The sequence below is a fragment of the Homo sapiens genome, chromosome 13 (assembly GCF_000001405.40).
Source record: "Homo sapiens chromosome 13, GRCh38.p14 Primary Assembly".
NCBI classification, from domain to species: Eukaryota; Metazoa; Chordata; class Mammalia; order Primates; family Hominidae; genus Homo; species Homo sapiens.
The window spans coordinates 42,875,761-42,895,781 of record NC_000013.11 but is presented as its reverse complement, the minus strand read 5'-3'; the positions used below and the strand labels follow the sequence as shown (position 1 = coordinate 42,895,781).

General features: G+C 40.1%; 1 protein-coding gene across 14 annotated transcripts in view; it reads left to right on the top strand.

Annotated features, from left to right (window-relative positions):
* The window catches only part of EPSTI1 (epithelial stromal interaction 1), a 105,854-nt gene extending 96,460 nt beyond the window's left edge, over positions 1 to 9,394 (top strand). For 10 of the 14 annotated variants that reach the window (XM_011535313.2, XM_005266596.2, NM_001002264.4 and 7 more), the window contains 3 exons: positions 674 to 773; positions 6,540 to 6,571; positions 7,280 to 9,394. In XM_011535313.2, the coding sequence (XP_011533615.1) occupies positions 674 to 773; positions 6,540 to 6,571; positions 7,280 to 7,532 (385 nt within the window). In that variant the 3' untranslated portion in view covers positions 7,533 to 9,394. The remainder of the gene's footprint in view (positions 1 to 673; positions 774 to 6,539; positions 6,572 to 7,279) is intronic. The other 4 variants (NM_001331228.2, NM_033255.5, NM_001330543.2 and 1 more) reach the window with 1 other exon arrangement.

Below are 20,021 nucleotides of genomic sequence, written 5' to 3'. Positions count from 1 at the left end.
TGACTCTACTCAGCCATACGTGGGCAACTCAGAGCACGACGTTACCTGTGATTTATTATTTTAAATTTAAAAACTGTAATATGAAACACAGAAAGGTCCACAAAACAGATATTTATAGTGATTAATTATAAAGTGAACAACCAGGTAGCAAGCTCCAGAAATAGAATAATATAAGCTCACCTTCCATTTCTGCTTTTCATGTATGGGGTTTACTTTAGCAAGACTGGCAGTGGAGTGCAGGGAATATAGGAAGGACATCTATCTTGCAACAATAATGCCATAGAGCTATCTTTGGTTCTTCTTCATGTTTTGGTTCATGCTGAGGCTTCTTTCTCTCTCCAGCCTCTGAGGTTCATACCTGGCATGATTCTGAGGGCTGTAGTTTCTTTCTTGAACTAGGGTCTTGCTGAACTGGCAGGAGATGAGTGCCTGAAACTCTCAGGTTAAGAATTCGTATCCCCTTTGGCTTGAGCCAAGATTGGCACCAGCTCCAGTAAAGAGGGGTTAACAGCATGTCATATGGTTAGTGTGAAGAGAAGTTTCTGTGGATTTCTTCTAAGCTGAAGCCAGGAAGCTATCCCCATGGTCAGTTCATACAACACATTAGATTCTCAGAAATCTCTCAGCCCTGCAGCAAGTTTTCTACTCACACACATTTTTCATTGTTTTAAAGGGTAAATAATGCTTTTCTGGACCGACTCCAAGGCAAAAGTCAACCAGGTGGCCTCGAGCAATCTGGAGGCTGTTGGAATATGAATAGCGGTAACAGCTGGGTGAGTTTTTTCTTTTCTCTTAAATCATCTTTCAATGTTGAAGAATAAAAACAATGAGAATTTTTAATATATGTTTTGGCCTTCTCCCCAGATATTACGTTTTTGTTGTTGTGCTGTTTGGCAGTGTGATGGGCAGTCAGCCAGGGGGATTACTGTAAATTCCACAATAGCTTCTGCTAGAGGGAGAAAGTCCTGATTTCAGCTCTGGCCAATCACAGTAAAAAATGACACCTGCCCTTTGTTCTCAGCATGATTGCCTGGACTTTAAGGGTTTTTATCATCCCTTGCCCAGACCTACAAAAAAACAAATGAACGTTTTTTTTTTTTTTTTTTCAGAAATATGGTTATAAAAATAATAAGCATTCTCTAGTAATATATTCTTTCAGTCAAACTAACACATCAAAGAAACCAGTAGTTAATTTTTCACTATGAAATGATTTTTTAGAAACCCTATAGCAAAAGGCACTTTTAAAAAATGAAATGTCCTTACCTATTTCTGTGATGAAAACCTTGCAACTGTGTTGCAATATGTGTTTAATGTATTTTGTGTGCATGATATATTATTGAACGAGCACCAAAGCTTTGGAACATATATAATTGTGAGGTTTGCAATGTGTACAAAATCAAAACTAAAGACCATAGGTCTTACAGTTTAATTGAAGCCCAAGTGTATAACTACCTTCTCTCTCTCTCACTCACTCCCTTTATATACACACATCAGATAGAAATCTGTAAATTGGTCACAATACAACAAAATAATCAAGTGCTTGCTGACCTAGAAAATCTAGAGAAGATCTTCCTTTAATAAATACTTGACAGACAAAAGATCATGTTTGAGAAGTCAATCTGTTAGAAATCTTACAGCATGTACCTTTGAAAGACATCTAGTAATCTAGTAGTTTACATTGATGAGTGGATTTTATAAATGTATACATATTTAAGATAATTGAACAGAAGCAAATTTGCAGAGAACACTGCCTGGATGTGTCTATTTATCCGTAATATATGCTCATTTGTTACACTCTGGCATTCAGAATAGGGACAGTATGGAACAGAGAAAATAATTGAAACGCAGGATCTTTGCATTGTGTGATACAAAGTACACATAGTGTCTTGTAACAGTATGTGAGTAGGAGTCATGTGGAAAATGGGCCATTGTGAGTTGAAGACATTATCCAAGCTTGTATAACTTAGTTGTGAAACACAATTGGAATTTAGATTTTGGTCAGGGCTTGGAAACACACTGTATGGTTGTCATTTCTTCTCTATGGAACCGCTCTTAAAACTTAGAAAGCACCTATCTGGGACTGAGGGGAAGATGATGGGAGAGCATAAATGGATATTGCATAGGCTTCTGCTGAGGATGTGAGGATGTGGCAATCTGGCTCACCAATGACTATTGGCAGGCCTTAGTGAGCCATAAATCTCTGCTTAGACTCCTCACAGATCAAAGAGAGGAGCATTGTTTCCTCATGATGTAATAGTGAGGCTGATTGGGTGAAATTTTTAGTAGGATGGGCATATCCAAGTCCAAATGGGTTATCAGTGCTTTCCTTACTTAAAAGAAGCAGCAAGAGAAACCTGGGAAGTTCCTCAGGCTCCCACCTTCACCTCTGTTGACCTCCAGACATCTGCACTTCTGTGCTTGCTTTGCTTTATGATTTATCTTCTTCTCCACCTCCTGGGGGACTTTGTTCTAATAATACTCTCTCCTCTCTACTGAATTGCTGAATGTTCCATCTCGACTAGAACACTTCCATCAGCATAAAACATAAATCAACATAAATTCTGTTGATAGCACATTTCCTTCTTGCTACTGCCCTGTTTCTCTGTCCTCCTTCAGAGTAAAACATCAAAAGGTGCCTCTCCTTGCTATCTCTAATTTCTTTATTTTTTTCTTAAACCCACTGTTACAAGGTTTTAGAATCTACCCATCAAAAAGAATGTTCTTTTCATGGTCACTAAAAATGTTCACATTGCAAAATCCAACGATTATTTCTCAATCTTCCTCTTTTGACTGATCGCCATTCTTTGTCATGGTGAATCACTCCCTCTTCTTTGAAACTGTTTCTTTACTTAGCTTCTGTGACACTGTACTCTCTCCTGGGTTTTCATATACCTCAGTGATAACCCGTTTTCATCCCTCTTTGCTGAATTCCTTGCATCTGCCTGTCCTTTCAACAGTGAAGTGCCTCAGGGATCTACCTTGGACCACTTTCTGAACTGATGTTCACTTAATACATTCTTTCTTATGAAATTAGATACTCATTCATTCTTATGAAATTAGATACTATCTATATGTTCATGACTCCCAAGTTTCTATTTCCAGCCCAGACCCCTTCCTCCAAACTCCAGACTTGTGTACCCAGTTGCCTACCCAACACATCTCTACTTATCCAAGATATGTAATAGACATTTCAGCCTTAACATGTCTAAAACCTAACCTTTGATCCCCTTTACCCTAGTGCTCTGTCTGCACATTTTCCTGTTTCCATAACGGTGCAATCCCTCTCTCACACCCACACAGCTAGCCATCAACAAATCCTCTTGACTCTTCCTTCCCAATACATCCAATCCAACAGCTTCTCACCACCCTTATCATCATTATCCTGCTTCCAGCCTCTCTCAGTGCTCATCCAGATGCTTGCAGTAGTCTCCTAGATGGTTTCCTTACTCCCACAATTACTTACCTACAGTCTGTTCTCGATACAAGACTGACAGAAGTCAGATTCTGACTCTGCATACCCCTCCAATGGCTTTCGCCACCCCCAAATCACTTGGAGTAAAAGCCGAAGTCCTTCCAGCAGCTTACCAGGTGCTGCATGATCCAGACTCCTTCTTAGCCCTCTGGCTCTCCTGCTGCTCTCCTTCTTCATTTCTCTCTAGCCACACCAGCTTTCTTGCTGAGAGCACTGGGTGCTCTGTCTACACTATTCTCCAAAATATCCATATGGTTTGTCCTCCTTCATTTACTTTCTTGAATTCCACGGTCTCAGTGAGATTACCTTGGCATCCTAGTTAAAGCTGCTGCCTGTCCTCTCACCCTGGCTCCTGCAGTCCCCTTTCTAGGCTCCCCTCCCTTTTTCTATAGCACTCTTCAACTTCTAACATACTTTTAAAACATAATTTCCTTGTATGTTTTGTTGACTGTTTACTCTTCGCCTCTCCCTGTGGTGATGTATGTTCCACATTCTACAAGGGTGGGGCCATTGGATTGTTGTGTTCAGTGGTGTATCCCAGGCATAAAACAATAACTGGAACTTACCACACACACAAGGAAACAAGTGGTTGTGATTCAACATCACAAACACAATAGAAAGACTTAGAGCCAGATGATTTCACATGCTAAAATGATTAGATACTGAATTTAAAATCACGATGTATAAAACGTTTGATGAAATAAAAATTGGATTTGAAATAATGAGGAAAAAATAGGAGATAATGAAAGACAACCAAGCAGACTTCAAAAAGAATTAAACCAAAATGCCATTTCTTATCAATTATTTGGCAAAAAAAACCCTCCTAAAATATTGACAATATACTCTGTTGGCAAGGCTGTGGGGAAGTGGGTACTTTACACATTATTGGTGGGCATGCAAAATGATACAAACACTATCAACATCTATGTCTTACTGTCTTCCCATTAAACGAAGACCAGGCCTATACATATTAGAGCCAAATTCTATTAAACTTTCAAGGAACAGATTATTTCAAATGTCTAGAAAGTTTTTCTGATTAAAAAGAAGGAAGTATTATCCAAAATGATTAAGCAGGTAAACATGACTTTGAATTAAAATTAGACAAAGACCGTATAGAAAAAAAATAGACTATCACTCATAAACATAGATTCAAAACAATCACAAGATTTTGACAGAATAAATATGAAAAAGCATAACATATCCTGATGAGATAGAATTTGTTCCAGAATTGCAAGCTTGGCTTATTGCAGACAAAACAAAAAACCTACTGAGATAATTCACCTCATAAATTATAAAAGAAACTCCATACGATCATCTCAATTAGTACAGAAAAAGCATTTGCTAAATTACAATACTCACTTGTGGTAAAATCTTCTAGGAAACTAGGAATAGAAGGGAAATTTCTTTGCCTCATAAAGGGATCAAAACTGTATAATAATAATAAAAATACATTAAAAACATTTCCGTTAAGATATAAGGATTGAAAAGGGGGAAAAAAAGCCTTTATAAATCACAGATGATACAATTATTTACGTAGAAAATCCAAAAGAATTTACATTCAAATTATTAGAAGAAAAAAAGGCTTGGCACTGTTAGTAGATATAAGATCAATATGTAAAAACTACATTTCTACACATTAGGAATAAATAAAAAATCTAATAAAAAGATCCAACCAAAAATATGAATGACCCTTTTTAAAAAATTCTAAAATTAGCCGGGAGCGGTAGCTCACGCCTGTAATCCCACCACATTGGGAGGCCGAGGTGGGCGGATCACGAGGTCAGGAGATCGAGACCATCCTGGCTAACAAGATGAAACCCCGTCTCTACTAAAAACACAAAAATATTAGCCGGGCGTGGTGGCGGGCTCCTGTAGTCCCAGCTACTTGGGAGGCTGAGGCGGGAGAATGGCGTGAACCTGGGAGGCGGAGCTTGCGGTGAGCAGGGATTGCGCCACCACAGTCCAGCCTGGGTGACAGAGCGAGACTCTTTCTCAAAAAAAAAAAAAAAAAAAGAAAAGAAAAAAAATTCTTAAATTTTGTAGAAAGATGCTGTGGAATAAATAAATGGAGAGTTATACCTTGTTAATAGATAGGAATGAGCTCTCAAATAAGCTATAGATTCACATAAATTGGAATCAAAGCAAAGAACTGAGAGTAACCAATTCACTCCTAAAGATAAAGAAGTATATATGGGGACTTAATTGTGTATTTAATGCGGTATGCAGTTGGCCCAGCACACCCAACATTTCTGAATTTTTTAGTTTTTTGTATGACAGACGGGGCAGAGCACATCACTGGGGGGAAACAGACTCTGGCAAATGCTGTGGGGACAATTGAGTACTTACATGAAATTAGGTCCCGACATAATTCATAAAAAAATTCTAACTGGATTAAAGCTTATAAGTAGGAAGGAAGACTTTTACATTTTAGAAAATAAAAGAGGCTGTTTATAAAATAGAGCTGAGAAAGGATTTTGTAAGACCCAAGGTATAAACAACAATAACAAAAAAGATAACTATATCTACATTAAATTTTAAAACATCTGTTCATAAAAGAATATCATACAAAAGTAAGAGGAGAGGCCATAAATTAAACTTTTATTTAGGACATGTTCTGCAAATAACAAGTGGACAAAATTAATATATAGAATTAGCAACTTAAATTATATCAATATATTTGAATTACTATTAAATTAAGGATATGTCACCATTTAAAGACTGATAGATGAGGACTGAGCTTCTCCAAAGAATGAAAGAGGAAAGCTATGCCTCAATTCACAGAGGCTTGGAGGAAATATCGGAACCAGTAAAAAGCCAGAGACAGAGTAAACAAGGAGGAAGGCAGAAATTATGATAAAACCAAGCCATGGAAAGAAGCAGTGGTTTCTTGAAATGTCATATAGACACTTAAGCAGTAGGCCCCCAATAAGTGTGTATGTTAGGTGGATTGATTTTTATTTTTTAATCATTGTTAATTTAAATCAGTCTTCTCATATTTCTTAACATATACATTTATTCTTCAATAATTGCTTTTATATGTAAAAAATATATTTTTTTATTTTTCTAGGGTTCTCTATTAGTTTTTTCGAGGCACCTAAGGTGGGTCACTTAAAAACATCCCTTTAAATAATATTTCCTCTGATACAATAGGTGAGGCTCTTTGGGATGCTGTGGAAACTCTAAATCCTATGTCTTCAGGGGCAGTTAAGCATTTCCTATGACCAATGAGGCAACCTGAGATTTTAATTTCTCAAAGTGTTAGAAGAAACAGCAATGGTGTGTATTCCATACGTAGCGTGGCCCAGCACTGCAGAAGGCTTGATGGAGGTTTCTTGACCCTTTGCACATGGTAGGAGTGGAGACTCACCAATCTATCTCCCTACATCAAGGTCCTCTTAGAAGTCACCTTTCTGCTGTATAATACAGCGTAACCCTACTTGAGACATTTCCATTTAAATTGCTCTGTTCCACATGTGTTCATCCTGTCCTTGCTGTAACTGTGTAGGTGGGTGACAACATTTTCGAACTGTATATTTGTCACCTCTGTTAGTCTATCTCTAAGAACACAGCCAATAAGACATCACTTGACAAGCCATTACCTTATTGACCAAGACTATTTTGTGAATCAAATGCAATGTGACTTGAAAATCAAATCGTTTCAATGGTCATTTAAGTTGTTAATTTTAAAAAATGGTCATTTCAGCTTGATGCATAAGAGCGTTCTTTGCAGGAACTTCATTTTTGACTACAAAGGCTTTGAATTTTATTTTGCTGCTTGCAGTAATTTTTGTTTTCTTTTTCTTCCAGGGTATATGAGAAAATATTGACTCCTATCTGGCCTTCATCAACTGACCTCGAAAAGCCTCATGAGATGCTTTTTCTTAATGTGATTTTGTTCAGCCTCACTGTTTTTACCTTAATTTCAACTGCCCACACACTTGACCGTGCAGTCAGGAGTGACTGGCTTCTCCTTGTCCTCATTTATGCATGTTTGGAGGAGCTGATTCCTGAACTCATATTTAATCTCTACTGCCAGGGAAATGCTACATTATTTTTCTAATTGGAAGTATAATTAGAGTGATGTTGGTAGGGTAGAAAAAGAGGGAGTCACTTGATGCTTTCAGGTTAATCAGAGCTATGGGTGCTACAGGCTTGTCTTTCTAAGTGACATATTCTTATCTAATTCTCAGATCAGGTTTTGAAAGCTTTGGGGGTCTTTTTAGATTTTAATCCCTACTTTCTTTATGGTACAAATATGTACAAAAGAAAAAGGTCTTATATTCTTTTACACAAATTTATAAATAAATTTTGAACTCCTTCTGTATAAATGGGTCATTTTTATTTTTAATGAAAAGTTATTGGGGTTTTCTCTCTTGAAGGGTCTCATTTTAATTCCCTTTTCCAGGCCGTATAGATCAAATATAGTACTGTCATTACTGTTGGCTCTTGTTTTGGTCTTGACTTACTAATAGTGTTACCCTGATTTTCAGAGGGGGACAGTTTATCTCCAGAAAGGCCAATGTTTGTATACACATCAGCTAGACACAAATATAGACATCATATGTAGTTTGTACATGTTTCAGAAACTTGTTTTTTCTTTGCTCTGTGTAACCTATTTCCTATTGCTAGTTCAGTTGGCTTTCTTATTCACTTCTGTGACCCTGAACCAGTTCTCAGACCCTAGAGTGTAAGAGCATTGATTTTCTACGCTGTGTAATCTAGCTCAATCCCTCTGTCCCCTCCGCCTCACCGTCCCCCAGCCACCACATTGTATAGCAAAAGCATTACATTCAATCCTAGAATAAAGGTAAATACAACAAATCATCTTTGCAGCTGGACAACTAATAATACTTTGCAGCATTAAGAGATCTTCTGTGTTACCAGTCACTCTGTTGAAATGAACTTTCCGAATCTCTTTATTCAGGAAAACATGGGGTTTTGAAATTCTTGGGCCAAGAGACATAACTGAGGGGTTCGCAGAGCTAGGCAAGGGTGCACTAGGAAAGGGCCACATTGGTGGGTGGGGGGTAACAGAGAACAGATGGTGTCAGGAAGTTTCTCTGGAGTAAATAATGTGGATATTCTTGGTTTCCCTCTCCTCCGCCAGCTGAAGCTGTGTTAGTGCTGTTGACACTAATATAAAATGTTTGGTCCATTTGAAATCCTTGTCATTGCCTTATATGGGGGAAACTCAATCCCCCAGCCTGTGTTGGAAATATCACCAAACTGATTGTAAATGTGCGGCTGTAGCAGACATTTTAGTGTGGTGGTGTGCAGCCATTTCGGCCCTACACCTGCCAGCCTGGCTACCTTACAGTTGTGTTCCGATTTTTGCGTCTATGCTTGGTGTGCCTCACTTGCTGCATTTTCCAGCATGCAACCAGGAGTTGACGTAGGAAAAAGGGATGCTTTCTTACTTTGGAAGCTCTCAGGGAAGTTGGTGTCAATTTCTCCTCCACTGCCTGGCCTACCCTGCACTCCCAAAGATTTTGTGCAGATGGGTAGTTCCATTTTTTAAAAATTGTGCAGATATGGAAAATTGTGACTTACTTCATGACCAGAACTATCTAGAATATGTGTGGGGGTATAAACATCTTGCTTAACCAAATATCTATGTAGGCAGAGGTAACCAGGAGAGAAGCAAGACTTGCTGCCTAAAGGAGCCCACCATTTTACTTTTCACATTTAATCTGCCACGTTGAATCAATTGGAATAAAACCTGACTCGCAGGTGACTGGACAGGAAATCCCAAAGTTCCACCATTTCTATGCTTAATTTTAATGTCCCCCCGCTTTTTTTTTTGTAGAAAATAAAAACAAGAAAATCGTTCCAATGTAAGATGTTTGTTATAGAAACTTTAGGCAATACAGGTGTGTAATAAAATGTTTAATAAACTTCTAAACACTTTTGTATTTGGATTTACCACTTTTTCCTTTGTGGTTTCTTCTTGGTATTATGTTGATAGATCCTAAAATCTACAAAGCAACAACCTCTACCCAGTGGCCTATTTTAACAAAACAAAGGATTTCCCCTACTACTGGGCTTAGTTATATTATAGTAGATAGTCAGGCAGACAGGAGCAGGCCAAGAGAGGCCCCCACTACCAGGAATGTCAGGCAACCATCAGGTGATGGTCAGCCAAGTTATTTTTGTTGTTTTTCTTTTTTTTTGAGATGGAGTCTCACTCTGTTGCCCAGGTTGGAGTACAGTGGCATGACCTCGGCTCACTGCAACCTCTGCTACCCGGGTTCAAGAGATTCTCCTGCCTCAAACTCCCAAGTAGCTGGGATTACAGTCTCCCACCCGCCACCACGCCCAGCTAATTGTTGTATTTTTAGTAGAGACGGGGTTTTGCCACGTTGGCCAGGCTGGTCTCAAACTCCTGACCTCAGGTGATCCGCCTGCCTCAGCCTCCCAAAGTGCTGGGATTACAGGCATGAGCCACTGCACCCAGCCGGCCAGCCAGTTGTTAAGCTGACTCTCTAAAGTAATAATTGGTTGCAGCCAGTGCCAGGGAAAGGCAGTCTCCCAATAGATAGAAACACCTGAAACTGGTGATCAGCAGCTTCTGATAAGATCTCAGGATTTGGGCAAGAAAGCTCAAGCATGTACATTAAGGGGCAAAATGGCAGAGTTTAACTGATACATGACCTTACAGGAACATTCGACTGGTAAGGGAAGAACGCCTCAAGTAAGTATATGCACAACTCCAGTAAACACACTGGGCTTGCGGCCCCTCCCAAGTGCTGGCCGGCCACTGCGCATGCAGACAGCCCACCCCAAGGGAATCATTGACTCCAGAAGATTGCCAACATATAAAACCCCAAGTCAAAGGCCAAACCATGCACCCAATCTCCCAAGTTGCTCACTTGGCCTTCTTCCAAGTGTACTTGACTTCCTTTCATTCCTGCTCTAATTTTTTTTTTTTTTTTAACACAGAGTTTCATTCTTGTTGCCCAGGCTGGAGTGCAACGGCACGATCTCGGCTCACTCAACCTCTGCCTCCTGGGTTCCAGTGATTCTCCTGCCTCAGCCTCCCGAGTAGCTGGGATTATAGGCATATGCCACCATGCCCGGCTAATTTTGTATTTTTAGTAGAGACGGGGTTTCTCCATGTTGGTCAGGCTGGTCTTGAATTTCTGACCTCAGGTGATCCGCCCGCCTTGGCCTCCCAAAGTGCTGGGATTACAGGTGTGACCCACCGTGCCAGGCCTCTAATACTTTTTAATAAACTCTCACTCCCGCTCTAAAACTTGTCTCAGTCTCTCTGCCTTATGCCCCTTGGTTGAATTTCTTCTGAGGAGGCAAGAATTGAGGTTGGGGCAACCAGTACAGATTCACTGCTGCTAACAGTTGTAGATAATACAGGTCAGGAGATCTTATTCCATTCACAGGATAGGCCTAAGAACTCACATTTTTTGTATGTTTTTTTGTGTATGTTTTCACACTAGAGACATTTCTTGTGGTCCCTAAATACTTTATGTTCAAAGGAAACATTGCATTTTTTCTTTAGGTCGATTTTTTAAAAATCAAGATAAGAAGCCTACATATTTAATTTGGAGATTCGGTTGTCTTTCAGAAAGTATATTTAGAAAAATTACATTGTAGTTATAGTAAATGTAGACATATTTTAAAGTAAAACCCTTGACATTTATAAAGCCAAAAATTTCAAGTTAAAATTCAAAGTTTTGTGATAACTCTGGCTAAAAACTAATTTTTAAAAACATGTAATCATAAAAACAGTGCCTACAATCTTAATTTTAAATTTCAGGATATTAAGCAGATAGGTTGTAATTAGCTGGACTTGTTTGTCCAGTTATGAGAGGATGTGTTTGGAAGTGTGGCTGCCAGAGGAAGTAAAAGGAATTGTTCTGAAACTATTAGCAAGTAGAAGAAAATAGAAGGTTGTGGGCTCTTTGTTTTTATTAATAACTCAGTGGACTAGCACATCTAGAAACTAGCTCCGTGCTGATGTGCATGAAATAATATCGGAGTGAGGTATAATAAAATTTACATGTGGAGAAAGAATATGCCTCTCCAGTTACCATGAGGATTGCATAGAGAATAAATACATGTTAGGCATTCCTTCAAGGAAGGGGCTCTGATTTGGAATTCCTCCCTCCCTTTAAAAATATTCCCTTGTTTAACAATAGAGTTTAAAAAGCATCACAGAGGATTATCATTTTTTTTCTGCTCACAGAATTACATGCTCAGAAGTGAAGGGTTTATATAAAGGCAAATGGGAGAAGCATTTTCATGACATTTATTGCCATGTTGTGCCATCTGCTGGGACAGAGGCTACAGGGACAGCTGTACTGCAACACACACCTCCCCTAGGAAGCTGATTTATTACAAGCCCTTTGCTTTGCTGCTCAGCTGCAGGGCATGTGCTCTGAACATTCCTTCTCACCGTCCCTGGAGGACACTGACCACAGCTGAGCTGAAGGAATCGTCGTCAGTCATCGGGGGTGACATTTCATTCCCTACAAAACCTTACACCAGTGATTGGCACCAGATTATGAACTGATTAGAAATTTCTGTTTTAGAAACCATAGTTGAGCTAAAATGAGTAGAAATTGTGCTTTAGTATGGAGAGAACAGAAACTGATGGGAGAGGGATATTTGAAATTGGACATTGTGAATTAAGAAAAATCAGAAATCAACATTTAAATATATGTCTATAGTCTGTTTTAAATGTGGCACAATGGAGACACAAAGTTAAGTGGTACAGGTCCTGTCCTCAGGCAATGGAGCAGTCGGAATAGGCAAAGTTATGGTGACCACAATAAGCAGCCCCCACCTCTTCTTGGATTAGCAATAGTTTCTTGCCCATGCTGCACTTTATGCACAGGTCAGCAGAAGCCTCTGCTCACCTTAGTCAAGGACTGAGAAAGGCTCTGTCTGTTCTTATGCTTTCCATACACCAAGAGGAGGACATAGTGGCAGTATTCTGTGCTATCTCCAGGAAATGCTTTCTCCAGGAAATGACACATGCTACTTCTGTTCACATGTTATTAGCCAGAACAAATCATGTGGCTATTCCTAATTTTAAAGGTGTGGGAAAGAAAATCCTACAATTTTCTGCAACGTACAAAGGAGGAAGAGAACAAGAACATTTGTAAATAACCCTGATTATCCCCCCAAGGAACACATTCTACAGTTGAAGAAGACACAGACATATGAAAGCTTAAGATCAAAGACACATACAAATTCAAAACAATATCAAAAACCCAGTTCAATTCAAACTTTAGTAAGGAACTAATATAGGCCAGGCACTATGCTAGGCATGGAGACTACAATATCGTACAAACCAGCCACTAAAGAACTTTAGTATGAGTTAGACACACACACACACACACACACACACACAGAGAGAGAGAGAGAGAGAGAGAGAGAGAGTAGGAAAAATGAGATAGAAGCTATGCAAAGCAATGAGATAAAAAACCTAACACGAATGGCTTTTGGTGCCATATCAAGTAGCTTGAACTTTTAAAAGGTTATAAGCAGGGCATGGACCTGATTAGATTTAGCTTTTTATTTTAAATAAATCATGAGTGAACCCAAGAAAGAGATTTGAGGGAGGAAAGCCCAGAAGCAGAGCAATCTGTTAGGAGGCTGGAGGTGATTACATCAGTTCAAGGTGACCCGTGATGAGAGTCCTGAGCTAGAGCCGTGAGAGTATGGATGAGGACAAAAGAATGAGCATGTGGAATTCTCACGATATTAAATCAAGATAAGAAGCCTACATATTTAATTTGGAGATTCAGTTGTCTTTCAGAAAGTATCTTCAGAAAAATTACATTGTAGTTATAGTAAATGTAGACGTATTTTATAAAGTCAGGACTTTGTAAATGACTAGATATAGATGGAGACTGATGAATCAAAGATGAGTTTCATATTTCTAGCCTGTGTAAATACATTGATGGTGATGTGGCCATATATACAAAATTTATAGTATTTCAGAGGAAGGGAGATTTGATGTGGTCAATAAAGAGTTTCAAAGACTATAGAATAAAATTCCATGAGCTCGGGGACATTGTTTTGTTCAATGCTGTATTCCCAGTTCCTTGAACAGTGCCTAGCACATAGTAGTGATTCAATGAGTATTTGGTAAATGAATGGATTTGATAAAAGAGGAAAATTTTTACAGATGGAAAGAAATAAGTATGGTGGTGGCTGGTGAAGGATTGAGTGCAGGGACATTTAAAGCAGCCACAGTGGTGCAGTGATGGTGGTAAGCACGTGTTTGGGGGACATTGAGGAAGAAGAATGTTCAGGCTAGAGTAACTCCATCTTGTATACTAATTGGCCATGTTGACTTCTGATTAACCCCAGTTCCGAAAATGCCTCTAAAATTTCTATTTTATCTACTGTTAAGAGTGTATAATTACGAATAATTCCTGCCCTTAGGTCAAAACAACCTTGATGTTATCGTAAACACATATATCTTCCCCTTAGGCAAATTCCCTATGATTTGTAAGCCCTGGGTCTGTGGGGTAACAGTGTACTGTAGGGATCCACCATTCGCAGCTGCTTGAGATATGGCTTCTGTTCATAAATCCCTATTATTTCATTCTGAGAATCTGGACTTGTCAGCTTCTTTCTTCAGCTCCTCACCTTCCCTGGCCTTTGGAAGTAGGTTTGTATAGGCCTGCTCACCTCGGAACACACACACACACACACACACACACACACACACACAGAGAGAGGGAGAGGGAGAGAGAGAGAGAGAGAGAGACTAGTGTGGTTGTTGCTTGGAAGTGGGAGACAAGATATAGGAGAGGAGAAACACCCTGGAAGAGAGCTTCTCTCAATGTTTTGGAATTTGTCCCAGTTAATTGGCCAACCCCAGGTGTGATAATCAAGGATAGAAAGATTCTTGGGATAAGGATATCATATTAAGCTAATCAGTTATGAATAAACCTAAACCCCGCCAACAGCAGCTGCTGATGCAAACCAAAGGGCTGGCTTTGCCCCTTTACAGGCAATGCCTGTCCTTTAATCCCTGCAGATGGTTAGCAATGCCATGAGCCATAGCATTTTGGAAAAGAAAGGGGAACCACGGGATTTCTGGAAGATATGAGAATGTAGCTCTGCCATTCACTAATGTTGAAACCTTGGACAAATCTCTTATCTCCACCTTACCTCACAGGATAGGTTGTAGACAAACTGATGGGATAAATGCTCTTAAAAGGTAAATGGGAATGCAAGGTAGGAGAGTAGCAAGGGAAATACTATATTAGTTTTAAATGAAAAGATACTTTCTCAACTCCTTTCTTTATTACTAAAAATGTTGGTCCTTCTTTCTTCCTACCTTATCACCATTTTCTAGATCACCTGGCCATGTATACTTACAGGCCTCAACAGTCTTCCTTCCTTCTCATAATTATCCCTGCATAATTCATTGGCAGGGATTATCAATTCTACCACCACAATATCTTTAGCAACTTTCCCTTTTATTTCAGGCTCACTACCATCCTCTTTAATTGGTTTCTTGTGATGTTTTACAGAGACTATTGTCAGAAAAAACCATTGGATCTTTTTGCCTCCTGCACTTCACTTCTATGGTATAAAGGAATCTTTTGAGGAAGTGCGTGTGTCGTTTTAAGGTTTGTGCTAGCCAAGCAGGGAGGAGGCTTGGAATGCTAAGACAGGTACTCAACAATTGGAGAAGGCAGGTTTTAATGAATTCAAGAAAAGATTGTTTTAATTCTATTTCTCAAGAGGAAACTCAAAAGAATTGGTAAGCTTTCAAAATTATAATTCTATCTTTGCAATCACACATGTTGTTCATGCTGCAGACAAAAGGAAAAGACATTCGGAGCCAAGGTGGCTGCACACTCCCACTGAGAAACTCGGATTTTAAAAAGATGTGCCAAAAAGTGGAAAGAGGCACGCTGCCAAAGATTGTGTTGAAGAAAGGCAGGGACCAGTAACAGATCAGAAGGGCCAAAGACCAGAGTGAGCTGAGGCTTAGAGAAAAGAAAGTAAGGATAATGGAGGGCTCTTAAATTTAGAGCAAGAATAAGGAAGGAAGAGGCTCGCTGCCTGAGGCCAGTGGTGTGATGTTGATGGATGACATGAAGAAAACAGAACTCCTTTCCTCCCATTTAGTCCTGTCTTCTCTGTCAAGGAGAGTGATCTTTGGACTGAAAAGGGTAGAACGAACATTGTTAAGAGAAAATTGAAGCCCAAGATGGGTGTAGAGATTATGCGAGAGCATGCATCCGCTGTAAATGAGCCGAAATGTCTGGATCTGAATGAATTACAGTGCAGAGCTCTGAAAAACGTGCGAATGAATTCTCCCTACTTAAGAGGAGGGAGCTTTGGAGGTGGAGGAGGAGAGAAAAGTGAAACCTCCCTTGCAAAAATTGTAACAGTGAGAAAATTATGGCAGTGAAAGAGATCTGATTTAACCAACCCCCATCTTGCCTTTAGCCTTCAAACTGCCCTTAATTATCCCTTGGCTTGGGTCTACCTAGCTTTGGGAGACATTTAGTTTATAGGTTAAATTGCCGGGCACGGTGGCTCACGCCTGTAATCCCAGCACTTTGGGAGGACGAGGTGGGCGGATCCCGAGGTCAGGAGATGGAGACCATCCTGGCTAACACGGTGAAACGCTGACTCTACTAAAAATACCAAAAATTAGCCGGGCGTGGTGCTGGGCGCCTGTAGTCCCAGCTACTCAGGAGGCTGAGGCAGGAGAATGGCGTGAACCCGGAAGGCAGAGGTTGCAGTGAGCCAAAATCACGCCACTGCACTCCAGCCTGGGCGACAGATGGAGACTGTCTCAAAAAAAATAAATACATAAAAAATAAAGAAATAAAAATAAATGATAATACCCTCCTCGCAAGCTTAACCACCTTTGCAAAGCTAATGAGAAACCACCAGACTAGTAGGAGGATAGGAGCCTGAATTCTGCTAAGGTGTAGGCATAAACGATGGCCAGCCATTATTCCGGAGGTCACAAGATATGCTACTTCCCAATTACTCCTGCAGACAACATCACTATTTTAGAACCTAAGATTGGCTTTTGAGATGTCTTTTCAAGTTTTTTGTATGTCTGACACTGATGGCTCCACCTGGACCCACTAGTTGCTCCTGTGACCCCACCCAGAAGTGACTCAGTGCATGAGGACCATTTCCCACACTTTTATGATTGTACCCCCACCAATCAGCAGCAAGCACCCATTGCCTAGCTGTGCCCCCGTCTCTTTATCCTTGAAAAACCCTAGCCTTCGAATTTTTGAGGAGACCAATTTGAGTAATAATAAATTCCTGTGTCCTGTTTAGCTGGCTCTATGTGTGTAAAATTCTTTCTCTATTGCAATTCCCCTGCCTTCATAAATTAGCTCTATCTGGGCAGTGGACAAGAAAAACCCACTGGGTGGTTATAAAAGCAGGCCAACTGGAGACAAGCCAAGTCCGTGACCTAGGAACTGTAGAATCCAGTTTTGGAAAGCACCCTAGGTATCTATTTTAACCATTACCCAATGCATAACTAAATGTACATGTAGAGATGGTTTATGAAGAGTCAATAACTATTATGATAGGCCCAGCTTATCTGTCTGTTATTTGATTCTCTTCCCTTAATGCTTAGTCCTTAATGTGGAGATTGTTTTACAGTTGTCAAAATCATCTTTCTCCTTTTCTTTTTTTCCTTCCTTCCTTCCTCTCTTTCTCCTTCTCTCTTTCCTGTTTCTCTTTCTTTTCCTTCCTTCCTTCCTCTTTCCACAAACATTTGTTGAGTGCACACTATATTGGTGTTGTGTAGGAAAATAACACATAGCTCTTGCCCTTAGGTGTTTATAGTTAATTACAGGGAAAACCATCTTTTAGTTTTTACTTTTTCAACATGTGGTGATTAAGTGCAGAAAGAGCAAGTAAAAATGTAAGATGAGGAGCTTAAATCTTCCTGTCGAAAATAAGGGAAGAAATTTCTCCACTCCTTTTTTCTCTTTCAGAATGTTTTCCCTGGCCGGGCGCGGTGGCTCACGCCTGTAATCCCAGCACTTTGGGAGGCCAAGGCCGGCGGATCACGAGGTCAGGAGATCGAGACCATCCTGGCTAACATGGTGAAACCCCATCTCTACTAAAAAATAAAAAAAATTAGCTGGGAGTGGTGGTGGGCGCCTGTAGTCCCAGCTACTGGGGAGGCTGAGGCAGGAGAATGGCGTGAACCCAGGAGGCGGAACTTACAGTGAGCCGGCGATTGCACCACTGCACCTCCAGCCTGGGCGGCAGAGCGAGACTGTCTCAAAAAAAAAAAAAAAAAAAGTTTTCCCTGTCCTTTTCTATGTATGTGAATCTTTTTAGTGGCTAAATAAGCCTCTGGGCTACCTCACAATCTGGAGTGTTTCTTCAAGGACCTGGACGTCCTCTCTTCCTTGATGTAATCATCAAGGAAGCTAAGGCTTTAGCTTCCGGTTTCCTAAGAGGAGAGGGGTGTAACTTCAGTTGTTGTCTGACTCCAAATTGCAAAGCCTAACTAATGGTAATGGGTTGTATCCCCTTAGCTATAAAAGAGTGAGAGTTCTTTCTGGTCTTTGCCATTTCTTTAGCAGATTGCCTGTAATGTGCATCACTTTCTGGTTTAATGCTTATTTAATAATAAAATAGTTTTCCTTTTACCTTTGTAGAAAGCTTTTCTGGGTTAGGAGGACATTTCGTTTTTAATTATATTTTCCCAGGAGTGCTCACTATGTGCCAGGCACTCTTCCAGGCACCAGAGATATAGCATTAAATAAGACAGAAGCTGCCCTCATGAGCTCATATTCTAGGACAGATAGACACTGAACAGTAAGAATAATATCTAAGGAAATCATGCAGGCAGCACATTAGAAGGCGGGGCGGGGGGGGGGTGGTAAGTGCAGTAAGCCATGTGTAAACAATCGAGTGTGATGAGCTGTGTAAAGAACAGTGGGAGTTTAAAGGAGAGAGAGGTAAGTTATCCTGGGGCAGTTGAGGACTTGATGTTTGAGCTGAATCTTGAAAGATGAATGGTTTTGAAAATAGCTCATTGCTTTAGGGGAGGAGTGGAGCTGGTATTCTAGGAAGTGGAAGATATTTGATCAAAGAAATATACATGACAGCAGAGTACATTAGGGGAAGTCTGCATAATCAGCATCTCATTTGATACCATCAACAACCAGAGGCAGAGATTTTTTTTCTTGTTCTTCCTTTTTCTCTCTTCTCCTGCTCCTTTCTCCTACTCTCTTGTAATGATTCATACTGTTGACACATATTGAGTTTACTATCAGCTAAAATCTTTAAACTTTTTCACACACATTGTTCCTGAGTCATAGCACCCTAATCTGTACTTGTTGGCATACGTTTTATTCTCGGTAACCTTGTAGGAGTTTGTGTGTGTGTGTGTTGTGTATTGAAGAAGAGTTGGAGAAGAGACCGAAGTAGTTAGGCTGAATAAAATAGAACTCTGGAAATGATGACAGGCATCTCCCATACTTAAAGGTCTATCATAGGAAGAGAAATCCATTCTTTTTTTTCTATGTGATTGTTAGAACTAGTGGGTGGTACTTTAGGGATATAGATTTCTACTCTATGCCAAGAAAAGCTTTTAGAAGTTGATTTCAGAATTGACCAGGTACATCTCTAAAGAAATCCCTTGGGGAGAGGGTGAGGTCTTGGAAAAAATACAGACTCCTGGGCCCCATCCTTGACTTACATCACAAATCTTGTTACCAGGGACCAGGAATTTGCATAACAGGCTCTCAAGGAAATCCCTAGGTACACTGAAATTTGAAAACTTCAAGAGAATTAACATACCTTTTCTTTGAGAGCCCTTTCAACCTGGGGAAACTTTGATCCTATGAGACCCTAGAAAGGGGAACCACAGAACATTCATTTTCTTTGGGGTGTGGTGAGTCTGATGACTGTGTAACTAGGATGATTATTGAGAACTGAAACTAAAGTCCTTAGCTCCCCAGTCAACTGAACAGGCTGCCTCTTGGCCAAGAGGACCCCAGAGAAACCTTTTAAAAACTGAGTTTCTGGCCATCACAGGACGAGAGGTCAGATGCACCTCTTTATCTTCCCTCCCTTTTGTGGTTTAGACACAACATCTGACCAGCATTAATGTTGAAATAGAGATCACGAGACTGTCAGAACAGACTCTTTGTTCACAATGAGATACCACATTATAAACAGGACCGAAGGCCATGTTAAGTCATGGACTCCTACAGTTAAAGAAGAAACTGTGTTCCAACTGCCACAAGGTTTTTCTTTTTCTCTAGCAGCTAAACACGCGCTGGCCTTGAGATAAGCAATATTAAACAATTGCAGCTCATCCACCAGCAGAGCTGACTAACTGAGGCCCCCTGCTCCACAAGCCAGAACTACAGCTTTGATTGAATAAAAGACTGGTTTCAGTATTTTTCTCCTGCTAAGAGACCACCCACAGATCGACTAGTTCCAGCCGAGTTACAGATGCTGTGCATTTGAGTGCCTTCCTTTCCCTGCTTCACCTTTTGACATATAGGGCTTACTTGTAATATATTTCAATGTTAAGTCTCCACCTAAGGGAAGCATG